At 38.6% G+C, this 19,968-nt stretch overlaps 1 protein-coding gene across 13 annotated transcripts in view; it reads left to right on the top strand.

The window, feature by feature from the left end:
* EPM2A (EPM2A glucan phosphatase, laforin) overlaps window positions 1–19,968 on the top strand; it is a 352,671-nt gene that overhangs the window by 14,501 nt on the left and 318,202 nt on the right. Inside the window, exon 2 of one of the 13 annotated variants that reach the window (NM_001360071.2) lies at window positions 368–622. The exons of 11 other annotated variants lie outside the window; for them this stretch is intronic. The gene's annotated coding sequence lies outside the window, so the exon portion shown is untranslated. Of the gene's footprint in view, window positions 1–367; window positions 623–19,049; window positions 19,270–19,968 lie in introns of those variants that run through there. One more of the 13 variants, XM_024446551.2, reaches the window with a different exon arrangement.

The following is a 19,968-nucleotide window of genomic DNA, read 5'->3' as shown; positions in this document are numbered from 1 at the left end:
TGGCTGGGCCTTCACCAGGTGTGAGAAGTCTTAGTACCATTGTTGGTCCCAGGACTTCTCTTCCAGTAAGCTCATTAAAATGTTTTATTTTTCCAACACCATCACCAATTTGAGTTTCATTATCTGGAATATCTTCTAAGTTTTTTGCTCTGATGCTGGCATCCTGGGCAAAGTCCAGATAGCTCAGGCCTGTAGTGCCGCCAGTACATACAGGAGTGAGAAGCCCAACAGTTTCAATTCCGTGATCTTTATGGTTTTAAATGGTAAATTGTAATGCCACATGAATGTAGCGTTTTATCCTGAATTTTAGCTAAGTAAAACTTCAGAGAATTAAGGGAATGATTTTTTTCTCTTTTTTATTTGACAGGGTCTGGCTCTGTCACCCAGGCTGGAGTACAGTGGCATGATCTTGGCTCACTGCAGCCTCTGCCTCCCAGGCTCAAGCCATCCTCCCATGTCAACCTTCTGAGTAGCTGAAACCACAGGCATGTTTCACCATGGCCAGCTAATTTTTGTATTTTTTAGTAGAAATGGGGTTTCGCCATGTTGCCCAGGCCTGTCTCGAACTCCTGAAGCACAAGTGATCCACCTGCCTAGGTGACCCAAAGTAATGGGATTACAGGTATGAGCCACTGCACCCGGTCAGGTTATTATAAAATTATTGTCTTTTAAACCTTAGTCAAAAGGCTCAATACTGTTTCTATGAGCAAAGAGAAATTTCATCATGGTTTGATCTATTACCAACATTTTTCAACATTATATTTGTAGATTTTATGAACTCTGTATGTTAGGAAGAAGTTAGCATAACATTTACATTCATGCCTTTTGCCATAAAATACCAAAATATTACCATCTCTGTTGTTTGGAGTCAGCAAAAGTCTATCTGTTTGATGAATATGACAATCAGTATTTGGTACAATTCCAGAACTGGAACAATCTGGAACCCCACACATGGAAAACAATATTTGGGGGTCACACTGTTATTTCCATCATCTTCGATTTAGAGCTATCCTTAATTTCACCCATGGACTTCTGAGGTAAAAATAATTCTGAATGTTGTACAAAAAGACATTAGTTTAAAGTGTTGCTTTAACACTTACTAGTTCAGAATAATTATGAGGAAGAATTTACTTAATATATATGAGTATTGCTTGTAAATGGAAGTAAAACTATTTTATGTAAAAATATTGACAATATTTTGTCATTGGTTTGTGTTTCTTAGTTTTGACAATGTCTCATGTTTTCTCTACAATGAAGAAGTATCCCATAAAAGAAATACTTATTTAAAAAGTTCTTTACTCCAGAGCTATGTATGCTTTTTTGCACAGACTTCAGTCTTTACTTAATGTGGTTAGAAGTTTGAATCTGAAATTTTAGCTTGATAATGTTGTCTTTTTATTGTGGTTGAAGAAGTTTTATTATCTCTTAGAGGGATGTACTTAGAATCCATTAGTGAATCAATCTAACTAGAGATGAGAAATGTTGAGAGATATGATCCAAATGAAACATAAAAAAACACTAAAAACTCTTCTAGGTATTCTGGTAATACAAAAATGTGTTAACTTTATTAACCTCAAATTTTAGTATTGTTTAAATCGTTATTTTGGTATTAACCACTGAGAAGAGATCTCTATTACTTTTGCACCTTCAGTTAGGAAAACTAAAACCCTAACAAATCAGAGTCAGTATTTGATTCACTTATTCAACTCATGGAAGAACTTGGAAGCTCAGTTATACACCTGGAATTGTGATAGGTACTGGGATACCAAGATGAAAAATTTACAGCCCTTGAGGTTAAGAGATATTTTTAGTTGAGGGGAAAAAATGTTTATTGTCAAGTAAGGACTAAAGCAGAAGTCTGAAACCTATATGCAATGTTTTTATTTATTTATTTATTATTATTATACTTTAAGTTTTAGGGTACATGTACACAATGTGCAGGTTAGTTACATATGTATACATGTGCCATGCTGGTGTGCTGCACCCACTAACTTGTCATCTAGCATTAGGTATATCTTCCAATGCTATCCCTCCCCCCTCCCCCAACCCCACAACAGTCCCCAGAGTGTGATGTTCCCCTTCCTGTGTCCATGTGTTCTCATTGTTCAATTTCCACCTATGAGTGAGAATATGTGGTGTTTGGTTTTTTGTTCTTGCGATAGTTTACTGAGAATGATGATTTCCAATTTCATCCATGTCCCTACAAAGGACATGAACTCATCATTTTTTATGGCTGCATAGTATTCCATGGTGTATATGTGCCACATTTTCTTAATCCAGTCTATCATTGTTGGACATTTGGGTTGGTTCCAAGTCTTTGCTATTGTGAATAATGCCGCAATAAACATACGTGTGCATGTGTCTTTATAGCAGCATGATTTATAATCCTTTGGGTATATACCCAGTAATGGGATGGCTGGGTCAAATGGTATTTCTAGTTCTAGATCCGTGAGGAATCGCCACACTGACTTCCACAAGGGTTGAACTAGTTTACAGTCCACCAACAGTGTAAAAGTGTTCCTATTTCTCCACATCCTCTCCAGCATCTGTTGTTTCCTGACTTTTTAATGATTGCCATTGTAGCTGGTGTGAGATGGTATCTCATTGTGGTTTTGATTTGCATTTCTCTGATGGCCAGTGATGATGAGCATTTTTTCATGTGTTTTTTGGCTGCATAAATGTCTTCTTTTGAGAAGTGTCTGTTCATGTCCTTCGCCCACTTGTTTTGATGGGGTTGTTCGTTTTTTGTGTGTAAATTTGTTTGAGTTCATTGTAGATTCTGGATATTAGCCCTTTGTCAGATGAGTAGGTTGCGAAAATTTTCTCCCATTTTGTAGGTTGCCTGTTTCACTCTGATGGTAGTTTCTTTTGCTGTGCAGAAGCTCTTTAGTTTATTTAGATCCCATTTGTCAATTTTGGCTTTTGTTGCCATTGCTTTTGGTGTTTTAGAGATGAAGTCCTTGCCCATGCCTATGTCCTGAATGGTAATGCCTAGGTTTTCTTCTAGGGTTTTTATGGTTTTAGGTCTAATGTTTAAGTCTTTAATCTGTCTTGAATTGATTTTTGTATAAAGTGTAAGGAAGGGATCCAGTTTCAGCTTTCTACATATGGCTAGCCAGTTTTCCCAGCACCATTTATTAAATAGGGAATCCTTTCCCCATTGCTTGTTTTTCTCAGGTTTGTCAAAGATCAGATAGTTGTAGATATGTGGCGTTATTTCTGAGGCCTCTGTTCTGTTCCATTGATCTATATCTCTGTTTTGGTACCAGTACCATGCTGTTTTGGTTACTGTAGCCTTGTAGTATAGTTTGAAGTCAGGTAGTGTGATGCCTCCAACTTTGTTCTTTTGGCTTAGGATTGACTTGGCAATGCAGGCTCTTTTTTGGTTCCATATGAACTTTAAAGTAGTTTTTTCCAATTCTGTGAAGAAAGTCATTGGTAGCCTGATGGGGATGGCATTGAATCTGTAAATTACCTTGGGCAGTATGGCCATTTTCACGATATTGATTCTTCCTACCCATGAGCATGGAATGTTCTTCCATTTGTTTGTATCTTCTTTTATTTCCTTGAGCAGTGGTTTGTAGTTCTCCTTGAAGAGGTCCTTCACATCCCTTGTAAGTTGGATTCCTAGGTATTTTATTCTCTTTGAAGGAATTGTGAATGGGAGTTCACTCATGATTTGTCTCTCTGTTTGTCTGTTATTGGTGTATAAGAATGCTTGTGATTTTTGTACATTGATTTTGTATCCTGAGACTTTGCTGAAGTTGCTTATCAGCTTAAGGAGATTTTGGGCTGAGACAATGGTGTTTTCTAGATATACAATCATGTCGTCTGCAAACAGGGACAATTTGACTTCCTCTTTTCCTAATTGAATACCCTTTATTTCTTTCTCCTGCCTAATTGCCGTGGCCAGAACTTCCAACACTATGTTGAATAGGAGCGGTGAGAGAGGGCATCCCTGTCTTGTGCCAGTTTTCAAAGGGAATGCTTCCAGTTTTTGCCCATTCAGTATGATATTAGCTGTGGGTATGTCATAGATAGCTCTTATTATTTTGAGATACGTCCCATCAATACCTAATTTATTGAGAGTTTTTAGCATGAAGGGTTGTTGAATTTTGTCAAAGGCCTTTTCTGCATCTATTGAGATAATCATGTGGTTTTTGTCTTTGGTTCTGTTTATGTGCTGGATTACATTTACTGATTTGCGTATATTGAACCAGACTTGCATCCCAGGGATGAAGGCCACTTGATCATGGTGGATAAGCTTTTTGATGTGCTGCTGAATTCGGTTTGCCAGTATTTTATTGAAGATTTTTGCATCAATGTTCATCAAGGATATTGGTCTAAAATTCTCTTTTTTGGTTGTGTCTCTGCCCGGCTTTGGTATCAGGATGATGCTGGCCTCATAAAATGAGTTAGGGAGGATTCCCTCTTTTTGTATTGATTGGAATAGTTTCAGAAGGAATGGTACCCATATGCAATGTTGTGGAAGAAGTTCTTCTGGGTGGGAATTCAGGAGGAAGAAAGGGGTTGGGAAGACTTTATAGTAGGGTTAGTATTTTGAACTTGGTATTTAATGAAAAATAGGATCTTTTCTCATTTATTTTTGTGTTGCAATTATGGGAATAAATACAACAACAAAGCTGTTTTTAAAAATCTGATCTGAATCCAAGAAGAAATGGGTGCTCAGGCTCTATCCTCCATGTGAGGGAGACAGGAGAAAGGCTGATTTTATTAAAATGGCAAGGAAAGAGCCAAAGTTGGAGGGTTTCAGAGATGTTTAAGCTTTTTGTGGTGGGGCTCCCTGGGTGTGTGGTGGTGATGAGGGGAGAGCTGCATGAATGCATTTTGGGGTGAAGGAATCCTGAGTGAGAAGACTGCCACAGTTGTGAGGAGCGTGGGAATGGCAGCTGCAGGAGGCTGTGGGGCGGCCACTCCAGGATAGGGGTAGGGTCTTCTTTCTTGAGACCTGGAGGACGTGGGCAGGGATCACCTCTCTTGCTGCATGGCTTACCTCGAGCAGTCTCTACTGATATTTTTTCTTTTCTGTCAAACATAAAACATCAGACAACTTTCTAGTAAATTTTCTAGGCCACACCAGTGATGCCCTGTCCTGGAATGCATTAGGATCACCTTGGGAGCTTTTTAAATCACAGACCTGCAGAATCTTCATGGGTGGATCCTGGGAATTCATATTTTTTATAACAGCTTGCTGAGATGTAATTCACATACCATAGAATTCATCCATTTAAAGTGCACAGTTCAGTGGTTTTTAGGACACTTAGCCTTCTGTCCCTATGGATTCTGCATCTGTGGATTCAACCAATCTAATATTCAGAAAAAAATTCCGCAAAATTCTAAAAAGCAAAACTTGAATTTGCTGTCTGCCAAGTATTATGTTGATTCCACATGAGTGGAGTGATGTGCTGGCATTGCATTAGGTATTTGATAGTATAAGTAACCTAGAGATGACTTAAAGCAGTGGTCCCTAACCTTTCTGGCACCAGAGACCAGTTTTGTGGTAGATAATTTTTCCATGGACTGGGGAGGTGGGGATGGTTGTGGGATGATTCAAGCACATTACATTTATTGTGTACTTTGTTTCTATTATTATTCCATTGTAATATGTAATGAAATAATTATACAACTCACCATAATGTAGAATCAGTGGGAGTCCTGAGCTTGTTTTCCTGCAATTAGATGGTCCCATCTGTGGGTTGGAGAAGACAGTGACAGATCATCAGGCATTAGCTTCTCATAAGGAGCCCACAACCTAGATGTCTCCCTGTCTCCCAAGTGCAGTTCACAATAGGGTTTGCACTCCTATGAGAATCTACTGTGCTGCTGATCTGACAGGACGCAGAGTTCACCCCGTAATGTGAGTGATGGGGAGCAGCTGTAAATACAGATGAAGCTTTGCTCACTCACTCGCCTGCTTACCTCCTGCTGTGTGACCTGATTCCTAAGGGAGGAAGTTGGCCAGAGGTTGGGACCCCTGATTTAAAGTACAACATATCCTCAAATAACATCTTTCATTCGATGTTGTTTCATTACAATGTTAATGAGAAAAAGATCACTTCCTACCAGGGCCCCTGTCTGCAGAGTCTGCATGTTCTTCCTGTGTTTGTGTGGGTTCTCTCCAGGTCCTTTGTTTTCCTCCCACATCTCAAAGCTGTCCCTGTGCGGTTCTTTGGCATGTCTATATGGTCCCAGTCAGAGTGAGTGTACCTGTGTATGAGTGCCTTGCCATAGAAGGGTGTCCTGTCTGGTGGGTGCCTGTCTAGCACTTGCAGGAATGAAATCTGGCCACCCTTGATCCTGAACTGGAATAATTGGGTTGGTAAATGAATGAAGAAATGAATATAAATTATTGTCAAACAGAAATCTGTAAAGTATATGATAATCATACAAATGCTTGACAACAAATAATATGCTACCAAAGTGCTCAGTGAGCCTCCCTGTTTGTGATCATTTTAGAACTGAGCAGTGGCAGGAGGTGCTCCTTTTTCACTTTGCAAACATTTGTTCCTTGATATAACCCATCACCACGACTATTACCACAGTCACTCACTGACTCACCACTAATTGGTTAAATAATTTTCTTACTTGTTGATGTGGTTTGGCTGTGTCCCCACCCAAATCTCATCTTGAATTCCCACATGTTATGGGAGGGACCCAGTGAGAGGTAATTGAATCATGAGGGCAGGTCTTTCTTGTGTTGTTCTCGTGATAGTGAATAAGTCTCATGAGATCTGATGGCTTTAGAAGGTGGAGTTTCCCTGCACAAGATCTCTCTCTCTTTGCCTGCTGTCATCCATGTAAGATGTGACTTGCCTCTCTTTGCCTTCTGCCATGATTGTGAGGCTTCCCCAACCACATGGAACTGTAAGTCCAATTAAACCTCTTTCTTTTGTAAATTGCCTTTCTCAGGTATGTCTCTATCAGCATTGTGAAAATGGACTAATACACTTGTCTTTATTCATCTTTCTTAAATATGTGTATAGCTCACATTTATTTCAGTGTTTAATATGAGAAGTGTTTGTGGTATTTATTGAGAAGTTTGGTGATGTTTTTATGACCAGAAATACGCCATAGAAACTCCACCCTTATTTATATCACTTCGCTATAGTAGTAAAATTGATTTGTTATACATCATTTCACTTAAAGTCACAGTTTCCAAGAACCTATCTACCATGTTAATTGAGGGCTTACTGCATACAGGAGGATGTGTGTATGTTATATGCAAATACTATGCCATTTTATATCTGGGACTTGAGCATCTGCAGATTTTGGTATCTGCTGGTGGTTCTGGGACCAATTACTCATGGGAACTGAGAGACAACTCTACATTCACAAAATGTTATGTAACTATCAACACTTATGACATTTTTGCCATTCCAAAATGAAACTCTGTGCTCATTACCAGTCAATCTTTATTCCTCCCTTCCCTATCCTCAGGCAAACACGAATGCACTTTCTGTCTCTAGGGCTTTGCCTGTTCTGGATATTTCATAGAAATGGAGTCATACAATATGTGGCCCTTTGTAACTGGCTGCTTTCACTAATGTTAATGTTTTTGGGGTTTGTACGTGTTGTAGCATGTCTCAGTTCTTCATTAACCCTTATTGCTGAGTAATATTCCATTGTATGGGTGTGTCACATTTTCTTTATTCACTCACCAGTTGATGGAGGTAAAAGCTGTTTTCACTTTTAAAATAATGGTGCTGTGAACATTTGCATACAAGTTTTTGTGTGAACATATGTTTTTACTTGTATTGGGTATGTACCCAGAAGTGGAACTGGTGTGTACCCAGAAGTGGAATATGGTAACTCTATGTTTAACTTTTTGAGGAAATTCCAGACTGTTTTCCAAGGTGACTGCACTATTTTCCACTCACCAGCAGTGTATGAGTTTCAGTTTTTCCACATTCTTGTTATTTTGTGTATTTTTAATTTTAGCCATTGTAGAGGGTGTGAAATGGGGTCTTATTGTGGTTTTGATTTCCCTAATGACTAATGATGTTGAGTATCTTTTCAGGTACTTATTGGCTTTATGTCAATATGGAAGATACACACATATGTATCTTCTGTACACACATATGTGTATGTATCTTCTTTGGAGAAATGTCTATTCAAATCCTCTGCCCATTTTCAGTGGGCTTATTTGCCTTTTCATTGCTGTGTTGAAAGGGTCCAGGTTTTTAAAATAATCACCTCAGATGACATTGTTCCAGATAATCCTCAGATGGGCTATAGGAAACCACAAAATAAGCAGTCAATGCACCTAACTTGGACAGGACACTGAAGCTTTTAGTGTGAAATGCACGCATTAGTTTCGTACAGTGCTTTACTTCATTGTAACAGGTAAAGAAATCTCAGATTCAGGAAAAGATGTACTAACACATCTGTTACAAGTGGGAGCTTAAAAAATTTGTGGAAAATGGAATTAAAAGATAAAAATAAAAAACACAAACTTTATTTCTCAATGTAACTTCCATCACAGTCAAGACACTTTTTAAACGATGATAGCAGCTATTAGTCTATCCCTAAAGAACTGACAGTTTTAGAAATTAAACCATGTCAATGCAGTCTTGTTTTTACATTATTAACTGAAGAAAAATTGGTGCCCTTTACAGATTTGTTAAGATGAGGAAACAAAAAGAAGTCAGAAAGAGCCAAGCCAAATCAGGACAGTAAGGTGGATGCCTAATGATTCCCCATAGAAACTTTCATAAAATTGCCCTTGTTTGATGAGATGAATGAGTAGGAGCATAGTCATGGTGGAGAAAAACTCTCTGGTGAAGCTTTTCCAGGCATTTTTCTGCTAAAGCTTTGGCTAGTGTCTCAAAACACTCATAATAAGCAGATGCTATCATTTTTTTTGCTTTCCAGAAAGTTAATAGGAAAAATGCCTTGAGAATCTCCAAAACTGTTGTCATGATACCTTCTCTTGACCATCAACTTGTGGTTTGATTGGGCCACTTTCACTTCTCAGTAGCCATTGCTTTGCTTGTGCTTTGTCTTCAGGATCATACTGGTAAAGTCATGTTTCAGCTCCTGTTATAATTCTTCAAAGCAGTGCGTCAGGAGCTTGATCTCATTTGTTTAAAATTTTCATTGAAAGCCCTGCTGTTGTCTGCAGCTGATCTGGGTGCAATGGTTTTGGCACCCATTGAATGGAAAGTCTGTTCAACTTTAATTTTTCAGCTAGAAATTGTGTAAGCTGACCCAGCTATTGTTTCTGCTGTTAATTATTGGTCCTCTTCCTATCAAGAAGAATTTTTATTTGTAAATTGATGTGGATGGTCTGTTGCTGCAGGCTTCATCTTCACCATCATCTCACCCCTTCTTAAAATGAATTATCTATCATAAAATGCTGATTTCATTGGGGCTTTGTCTTCATAAACTTTTGATGCTTTTTGTAAAGCATCAATGATTTCACCATTCTTCCACCTGAACTTCACCATAAATTTGATGTGTGTTCTTGCTTCAGTTTTAAGCAGAATTCATGTTGCTCTAAAGGGGCTCTTTTCAAACTGATGCCTTATTCTTCTTAGTGCCTCAAACTAGACCTTGTTCAGATATGTTATAGCAAGTTAGTATAAGTTAATTTTAGTTCCAAAAAATTTTGAAACCTGTGCATAGTTTTTCCACGTATGCATTTTCTGTGAACTTTTTGAGGACCCGCTGATGTTTCCCACTGGAAATTTTTTTTTGAGGAAAAATGCATTTTAAAGTCCCTGAAAATTATTAGGCTCTATTAGTCCAATGAAAAATGATATCAACTTTTCTAAAAAACATTTGATTTAATGGAATTATCTGTTAGGTATATTTATCCTTCCTTTGCCAACTCTAATACTATCATTTATCTGCACACTACTCTTAGATTTAGGTGCTCTTTGAGCTCTTTCATGACATCATTTCTTATCTCAAGCTAAATTCTTTCTCTGGAGGACCTTATCTAATCCTAGGATGTTGTATCTCTAGCTCTAATCTCTCTTCTGGGCTCCAGACCTGTATATCCTCTTGTCTACAAGACTTTTACATCTGGGAGTCCTATAAGTAGTTTAAATTCAATATATTCAAACCTCAACTCATTATCAATCTCTGTAAGATCCTTTTTCTGTGTTCCTGATTTAAAGACACTGCAGCTCAGTCATTCAAGTGTGTGGAAACGTAGAACTTTTGTAGGCTGGGCTGTCTGTATTACAAGCTCCTGCGGTATAATGAGTATTTCTTCAGCCACATCCTTTAAATTTTAATTTAATAGTTCTGGGATTGGCCAGGGAATACAAACTTTATAATTTCCCCAGGTGCTTTTGATAATCAACTGGTTTGGAAGACCACTGTTAGAGACTCTGCAGTTGAAATATTTCAATCCCCCAATCCTTTTTTTCTTTTATTATACTTTAAGTTTTAGGGCACATGTGCACAACGTGCAGGTTTGTTACATATGTATACTTGTGCCATGTTGGTGTGCTGCACCCATTAACTCGTCATTTAACATTAGGTATATCTCCTAATGCTATCCCTCCCCCCTCCCCCCACCCCACAACAGGCCCTGGTGTGTGATGTTCCTCTTCCTGTGTCCATGTGTTCTCATTGTTCAATTCCCACCTATGAGTGAGAACATGTGGTGTTTGGTTTTTTGTCCTTGCAATACTTTGCTCAGAATGATGATTTCCAGCTTCATCTATGTCACTACAAAGGACATGAACTCATTATTTTTTGTGGCTGCATAGTATTCCATGGTGTATATGTGCCACATTTTCTTAATCCAGTCTACCATTGTTGGACATTTGTGTTGGTTCCAAGTCTTTGCTATTGTGAATAATGCCGCAATAAACATACATGTGCATGTGTCTTTATAGCAGCATGATTTATAATCCTTTGGGTATATACCCAGTAATGGGAGGGCTGGGTCAAATGGTATTTCTAGTTCTAGATCCCTGAGGAATCGCCACACTGACTTCCACAAGGGTTGAACTAGTTTACAGTCCCACCAACAGTGTAAAAGTGTTCCTATTTCTCTACATCCTCTCCAGCACCTGTTGTTTCCTGACTTTTTAATGATCGCCATTGTAACTGGTGTGAGATGGTATCTAATTGTGGTTTTGATTTGCATTTCTCTGATGGCCAGTGATGGTGAGCATTTTTTCATGTGTTTTTTGGCTGCATAAATGTCTTCGTTTGAGAAGTGTCTGTCGATATCCTTCGCCTACTTGTTTTGATGGGGTTGTTTGTTTTTTTTCTTGTAAATTTATTTGAGTTCTTTGTAGATTCTGGATATTAGCCCTTTGTCAGATGAGTAGATTGCAGAAATTTTCTCCCATTCTGTAGGTTGCCTGTTCACTCTGATGGTAGTTTCTTTTGCTGTGCAGAAGCTCTTTAGTTTAATTAGATCCCATTTGTCAATTTTGGCTTTTGTTGCCATTGCTTTTGGTGTTTTAGACATGAAGTCCTTGCCCATGCCTATGTCCTGAATGGTATTGCCTAGGTTTTCTTCTAGGGTTTTTATGGTTTTAGGTCTAACAGTTAAGTTTTTAATCCATCTTGAATTAATTTTTGTATAAGGTGTAAGGAAGGGATCCAGTTTCAGCTTTCTGCAAATGGCTAGCCATTTTTCCCAGCACCATTTATTAAATAGGGAATCTTTTCCCCATTTCTTGTTTTTGTCAATCCCACAATCTTTTTGAGTTTTATCTTGCTGCCTCTGCCCTGGATTATTTCCTTATGTCTTCTACATGATCTAAAGAACTTCTACAGGAACTACTTTGTGTTTCTTCTCTATTCAATCCTTCCTCTACAAGCTACTAGAATTATATTTCTAAAATACAGATGGGATAATGTCACATGTGTATTCAAAATATTTAGATGATGTATTAGTCTGTTCTTACACTGCTAATAAAGACATACTCGAGACTGGGTAATTTATAAAGAAAAGAGCTTTTATTGACTCACAGTTCCACATGGCTGGGGAGGCCTCATAATCATGTTGGAAGGCAAAAGAGGAGCAAAGTCATATCTTACATGGCGGCGGGCCAGAGAGTGTGTGCAGGAGAACTCCCCTTTATAAAACCATCAGATATCGTGAGACTTATTCACTAGCACGAGAACAGGATGAGAGAAGCCCTCCCCCATGATTCAATTACCTCCCACTGGGTCCCTCCCATGAGATATGGGAATTATGGGAGCTACAATTCAAGATAAGATTTGGGTGGGGACACAGCCAAACCATATCCTTCTGCCCTGGCCCCTCTAAAATCTTATGTCCTCACATTTCAAAACCAATCATGCCTTCCCAACAGTCCCCCAAAGTCTTAACTCATTTTAATATTAACTCAAAAGTCCACAGTCCAAAGTCTCATCTGAGACAAGGCAAGCCCCTTCTGCCTATGAGCCTATCAAATCAAAAGCAAGTTAGTTACTTCTCAGATACAATGGGGATGCAGACAGTGGGTAAATACACCAGTCCAAAATGGGAGAAATAGGCCAAAATTAAGGGGCTACAGGCCCCATGAAGTCTGAAAACCAATAGGACAGTCATTAAACCTTAAAGTTCCAAAATGATCTCCTTTGATTTTATATCTCACATCCAGGTCACACTAATGCAAGACTTTGCAGTGTCCAGCCCCACTCCTGGCTGCTTTCATGGGCTGCTGTTGAGTGTCTGTGTCTTTTCTAGGCACACAGTGCAAGCTGTTGGTGAATCCAGCATTCTGAGGTCTAGAGGTTTGTGGCCCTCTTCTAACAGCTCCATTAGGCAGTGCCCCAGTGGGGACTCTGTGTGGGTGCTCCAATCCCACATTTTTCTTCTGCACTGCCCTAGCAGAGGTTCTGCATGAGGACCCCGCCCCTGCAGCAAACTTCTTCCTGGGCATCCAGGCTTTTCATACATCCTCTGAAATCTAGGTGGAGGTTCCCAAACCTCAATTCTTGACTTCCATGCATCCACAGGCTCAACACCATACCGGAGCTGCCAGTGCTTTGGGCTTATACCCTCTGAAGCCATGGCTTGAGCTGTACCTTGGCCTTTTTTAGCCATGGCTAGAGTGACTGGGACACAGGGCACCAAGTTTCTAGGCTGCATACAGCAGTGGGCCCTGGGCCCAGCCCAGGAAGCCATTTTTTCCTCCTGCTTCTCCAGGCCTGTGATGGGAGGGGCTGCTGCAAAGGTCTCTGACATTCCCTGGAGACATTTTCCCCATTGTCTTGGTGATTAACCTTTGGCTCATCATTACTTATGAAAATTTCTGTAGCCAGCTGGATTTTTTCCCCAGAAAATGCGTTTTTCTTTTCTATTGCATCATCAGGCTGCAAATTTTCCAACCTTTTATGCTCTTCTTCCTCTTGAATGATTTGCTGGTTAGAAATTTCTTCCACCAGATACCCTAAATCATCTCTCAAGTTCAAAGTTCCACAGATCTCTAGGGCAGGGCCCAAATGGTGCGAGTCTCTTTGCATAGCAAGAGTGACCTTTACTCCAGTTCACAAGAAGTTCCTCATCTCCATCTGAGACCACCTCAGTCTGGACTTCACTGTCCATATCACTATGAGCATTTTGGTCAAAGCCATTCAACAAGTCTCTGGGAAGTTCCAAACTTTCCCACATCTTCCTGTCTTCTGAGCCCTCCAAACTGTTCCAGCCTCTGCCTATTATCCTGTTCCAAAGTCACTTTCACATTTTAAAGTATCTTTATAGCAGCACCCCACTCTACTGATACCAATTTACTATATTAGTCTGTTCCCATGCTGCTAATAAAGATATACCTGAGACTCAGTAATTTATAACAAAAGGAAGGAAGTTTAACTGACTCACAGTTCCGCATGGCTGAGGACGCCTCACAATCATGGCGGAAGGCAAAAGAAGGGCAAAATCACGTCTTACATGACAGCAGACAAGAGAACATGTACAAGGGTATACCCTTTTATAAAACCATCAGATCTCATGAGACTCATTCACTATCACGAAAATAGCACAGGGAAAAACCCACCCCCATGATTCAATTACCTCCCACCAGGTTCCTCTCATGACACATGGAAATTATGGGAGCTACAATTCAAGATGTGGTTTGGGTGAGGACACAGCCAAACCATATCAGATGATTTCCTAGTTCCTATAAAATAAGTCTAAACTTCTTAGTATGGTCTTTCTGGTTTCTCACAATCTGGCAATTATTTACTTTTGCCTGCTCTTCCCCTGCCACTTCCTATCTTAGTACTGTACCATTTTCTTGGATTTCTGACAAAATCATGGCAGTTTTAGTTCTACAATAAACCATGATACATTCACTACATTGACTTTGGTGTAATAATATGGAAACCAATCAGAAGTAGTGTCTTAGCCTTTTCAGGCTGCTATAACAAAAATACCTTAGATTGGGTAATTTATAAACAAAAGAAATTTATTTCTCACAGTTCTGGAGGCTGGGAAGTCAAAGATTAAGGCACCAGTATTAATAGATTTGGCTTTCTCTTTGTTTCCAAAATAATACCTTCTTGCTGCAGCCTCACATGGCAGAGGGGAAAAGGGATGAACTCATTCCCTCAAGCCCTTTTATAAAGACACTAATCCCACTAATGAGGGTGGAGCCCTCATGACTTAATCATTTTCCAAAAGTCCCTACCTCAATATCATTGGATTGGGGATTAAGTTTAAACATAAATTTTGGAGCAACACAAACACTTAAACTATAGCAAGTGGCCTCTTCAAATAATTTATATTTATTATATAATTCTTAAACATAGCAAGCAATTATACAATATAAAATTATTGAATGTATTTGAACAAAACCATCTTATTAATACACAACACTAACACATGCGTATACACATTCCTTTGGATTGGGAGTACAGCGGCATATTATTTTAATCTCTATGTGTTGTCTGCCATGGTCTTTTAGTGCATTGTAGGTATAGTTGCTCTGTTTTTCTCCAGTGGCTACCTAGGCCATCAGTGTTGATTGGATTTAGTATAAAGGCTTTCGTTAGAGCTTCTTGTCTGAGACTTAACCTTCCAGCATTAGCAGAGGGAAAGAAAAACATGCACCCTTCCAGCTGGAGCAAATGTTATTGAGCTATAAAAATAGCATGCAGTTTAGTGAAGTTACATATTTCGGTTATATATGTGGTTAGTGCACTTTCTGGCTTTGTTGTCCTCACTCAACTGTTTGCAGGTTTACATATATATAAATTAGGTAACCTAATGTGTTGATTCTAGGTATAATTTTTGTACATCAGGCTCTGACACACCACCTACCTGGCTATAGTTTTGTGTATATGCCCAATAAGCAACCCTACAGTGTAATTCCTGTTAAGATGTGGGATCCTTCATGGGATACAGGCAGCTCTTATGGATTTACACTGATAAAGTACTATGTCCAGAACTGGGACTTTGAGTCTTAATTTATACTCACAAACATTCTAAATACCTTTTCTCTACTTGTCTAATATGTAGTCATTTGCATCTTGAATATCTGAAACCTAAACATTCCAAGTCTTCCAGCCTTCTATGCAAACCCCTTCTTTTCATATTTAAATAAATTGCTTGAATTCCCATCACATATACAGAGAGATCTGATCTCTTTCTTCCATGTTACCCAGCACCATCTTTCCTTGGTATATCTTGGAAATGTTGGAGCATGGCAGGCGATTACTGTTTACCAGTATCCATGTCCTCTCCCCAGGGGAAGATTGTTCTTCTTTGCTCTGTTGAAGAAGTATATCTTTGTTATGTGGCTTGCTTTGGCCAGTAAAATATGAGAGGAAGTGCTGTGTGTCATTTCCTGTTGCGTTGCCTCATTCTCCTTTCTCTTTGCCAAGAAATTGTTGCTATTTCAAATAGGGATTGCCTTGATGGTCAGCATGAAGATGATGACAATGTGAACAAGAGCCCCTAGCCAATCTATAATGAACTCTAACATGGGAGATAATCAAACCCCTGCACTTTTTCTTTGTTTGTTTGTTTTGAGACAGGGTCTCAGTCTGTCGCCCAGGCTGGAGTGCAGTGGCGTAATCTTGCCTCACTGCAGCCTAGACCTCTCTGGCTCAGGTGACCTTCCCACCTCAGCCTCCCAAGTAGCTGAGACTACAGGTGTGTGCGCCACCATGCCCAGCTAACTTGTGTGTGTGTATGTGTGTGCATGTGTATATCTATCTATCTCTATATATATCTATATATCTGTATCTGTATCTATATCTATATATCTATATTTTGTTGTTTGTTTGTTTGTTTTTGGTAGAGACAGGGTTTCACCATGTTGCCCAGGCTGGTCTTGAACTCCTGGGCTCAAGCCATCCACCCACCTTGACCTCCCAAAGTGCTGGGATTACAGGCGTGAGCCACTGTGCCCAGCCCAAACCTTTGCTCTTTTATACCACTGATACTTTGGGGTTGTTATTACAGCAAGCCCTAGGACCAAAAACAATGCCTGTCATGTAGCAGATGTTCATTAAATGCTTGATAAATATATGAACTTGAGCAAGGCACTTTCCAGAAATTTCAAACTGGAATACACTCCATCTTCCTTCTTCAATGTGATTATGTGCCTGGAAATTTGTAACATGAGATAAAGATGCAACGCTGTCTTAAAGCATAAGTTTTTCTAAAAGACATTTGAGGAAAAAAGCATTATTTAGAAATTAAAACAGACACATCTATCTTATGGAATAGTACACAAATCTCAAAGGAATTTTAAAGGAAAACTAGAAGTCTTCTAAGAATATTAATACCATTTGGGTACTGCCTCAGGTTATTTTTCCAAGAACCCTTGGACGTGATAATCTTTGAGTCTCAGTTTTATCCTCTATGAAGTACAATATTTGGACAAAGATGGAGGTGTCAAAGGCTTTTTAGGAGGGGTTATATGGTGTGAACAGCAGTGAACTGAGAGCCAGCAGCCTTGGGCTTCAGTCCTTGCTTTGCTGTATAAGTATAGGACTGTCAGGTCATTTAATCTTGAAATTTAGACTCAGGAAAAGATGTACTAACACTTCCGCTATCTGTCCCACTGGATTTTTTGAGAAACAATACATTTTAGAATACTTTGAAAATTATTAAACTCTATTATTCCAAATGAAAAGCGATAGGAAATTCTTAAAATCTTTTCAAATTTGAATACTTTATTTATATTCTGTTTCCACTGGGTGGCAGTATTTCACTTGCACTCTACTGTAATTTTTATAGTTTGTATATAATCTTATAGAAAAAAATTTGATAACTATTTTAAATAAGTACCTCATTGTTTCCCAACCTTATCTTTCTCCTTTCTCATCCCATGCACTCCCTTTCTCTCAAAGAATTCAGATAAACCACTACCATTCATTTAAAAAATCTTTAATGAAGTAAATGTGACTGCAGTCTCTTTAAGCTTAGCAATTTATTAAGAACTTCTGCTTCATTTGGGAATATGTATTAGATAGCTTAATTTTGCTCAGATATAAGCAGATTACTTTGATGTAGGTAATTAAAAGTAGTTAAAAATAACCTACAAAAATCTTGCTATTGGTTCTTTATGACAATTTTAAAATAATGTTTTTAAAATTAAGCTGATGGATGTCCTTTTTAACTGATAATACCAGTGATGCCTATTTTATCCTATCATCAGAAGATCATCACACAGTTGTTATGTGAAATCCTTGATGTTTATGACATGTTCGAGAAACACTTTATCATGGTTTCATATCAGTTAACTTTGTGTCAGAATTTCCTAGAAAATTAGTCCCACAAGATGAGTTAAATAAGAAAAGTATACTTGTAAAGCTTGGTGAATAATTCCTTGCTGACTTTTGTTGATATTAAGGTTTTGAGGTAAGTAATGGCATAAATGTGTTAGAGTAGTTGTATCCTACAGCATGAAGATCAGAGTCATTCAGCAGCGTAATGGATTGCTAGTTTTCACTTGTAAAGAGACTATCAGTGCAATTTTTAAACTGACATAATCACTGTATTCTGTATAAGAGAGTAATTGCCTTGAAAAATTAGGCTGTTTAAAGTTGTTTATAAAACTTGATGTAGATAGAATAAATATTTTTAAATGGCTAAAATGCTATGTAACATTTTAATTGTTTTGTGCCAAATCTTTGCTGTTTTCAGGAAGAAAAAAAGGAAGTTTTTTTTTAAAGAATATCTAAGGTCACATGTGGTGGCTCACACCTGTAATCCCAGCACTTTGGGAGGTCGAGGCGGGCAGATCACAAGGTCAGGAGATCGAGACCACCCTGGCTAACACGGCAAAACCCCGTCTCTCCTGAAAATACAGAAAATTAGCTGGGCGTGGTGGCGGACGCCTGTAGTTCCAGCTACTTGGGAGGCTGAGGCAGGAGAGTGGTGTGAACCCAGGAGGCAGAGCTTGCAGTGAGTGAGATGGTGCCACTGCACTCTAGCATGGGCAACAGAGCGAGACTCCGTCTCGAAAAAAAAAAAAAAAAGAAACATGTTTATCAAATTTGCTGATAAGAGAAAGTTGGGAGAGATAGCTGGTATTTTGTTTAAGATGAGCACTATTCAAAATATTTTGTCCCACAGATAGGAATAAACCAATAAGAAGAGATTAATAAAAGTTAACTCTTACATTTGCATTAAGTTATTTTATAAAAATAGAGAACAAGAGAAATTGCATTGATCACAAGTCAAAGAGAAAAGAGTTTGTAGTTTCAGTTTTAGGGTAAAGCTAGCATGGTTGGGCAGGGGTTGGGCAGAAATTGTAAACTATGTGAGTTACTGAAAAATCTTGTACCTTGGAAACACATAAGCCCAAGTGGAGTTACTGTTATTATGGTCTTGTCTTGATACATATAGGTCTGAACAAGGTTATTGTTAAAATAATTTGAGTTTGTTTTAGTAGTATACCTCTTTTGCATTAGTGTACAGTTTTGCAAAGACTAGGAGGACTGGAAGAGGTGTAAGGTAATAGTTAAGAGCTGTTACTGGTTGTTGAACATCAACTGTGATAGTTTCTATGTTAAATCTTTTAAATGGATTATCTCATTGAATTCTCTCACAACAGCCCTATGAGGCAGATAGGCATTTTTCTTTTTCTTTTTTTCTTCTTTTTGCAAATAAGAAAACAGACACAGTTTGCTTAAATGATTTTCTCATTACTGTTTACAAAGAGTAAATCATACAACTTGGAATGAAGTCTGAGTCTGAATCTTGAGCCCATGCACTTAACTGCTATAAAATACTGTCTTTCAAGAAAGAAGTTTTACGGAACCTACAAAGGAGAGTTTCGACAGAGGGTGGTCACTCTCATTAAGTATTGCACACAGGTAAAGAAATGTGAAAAATTATTATGGAAACTAGCAGATGACTTTGTTTAAAGTTTTTTTTCCATAGAGCATTGAGTGCAGATGCCATATTGCAGGACGCTGAAGAATGAATAGGGAAGTAAGAGTGCTGGGTGAGCACAGGGCTAGCTAGAGGCAAGAGAAGGCAATAAGAGATGCTGTTGGGCAGAGATGATTGGAAACCTGGAAGAGGAGGGATTTGGGGAGATTTAAAGCCAGGAATAGAATGAGAAGATTCTGTGTTATAGCGAAGAGGTATAAGCCAGACACAATCAAGAACTAGACAAATAACTGGTACTCTCTTTCTTGCTCGCTTTTTTTGTGTGTGTGTGTGGCAATTGGCAAGTTTTAAGAGTACATTAAAATGCTTCTACTTTTACTGCTGACTTGTTTAAATAAAAATCAGTTGCAATTAAAAATGTAATACATGGAATAGTTTTGAATTAAATCAGGTGGAGATGTGATGCCTAAGGAAATATGATTTATCCTCCAAAATTACTTGCTGGAGAAAGATAATGTGTTCCAGTGCATCACTATCACCATTATTTGTTTCTCTCCACTCTCCGCAGCCAACAGAATCCTGATTTCTTTAGGTAGCAATGGAATGAATCATTGCTATAACCAGTTATGGTAATCTTATTCCTCTTGGGTAGCAATTGGCCTAGGGATGTTAATGTCACC

The sequence above is a fragment of the Homo sapiens genome, chromosome 6 (assembly GCF_000001405.40).
Source record: "Homo sapiens chromosome 6, GRCh38.p14 Primary Assembly".
NCBI lineage: Eukaryota > Metazoa > Chordata > Mammalia > Primates > Hominidae > Homo > Homo sapiens.
Note: the sequence above shows the minus strand (reverse complement) of the source record. Positions and strands in the feature narration are given on the sequence as shown.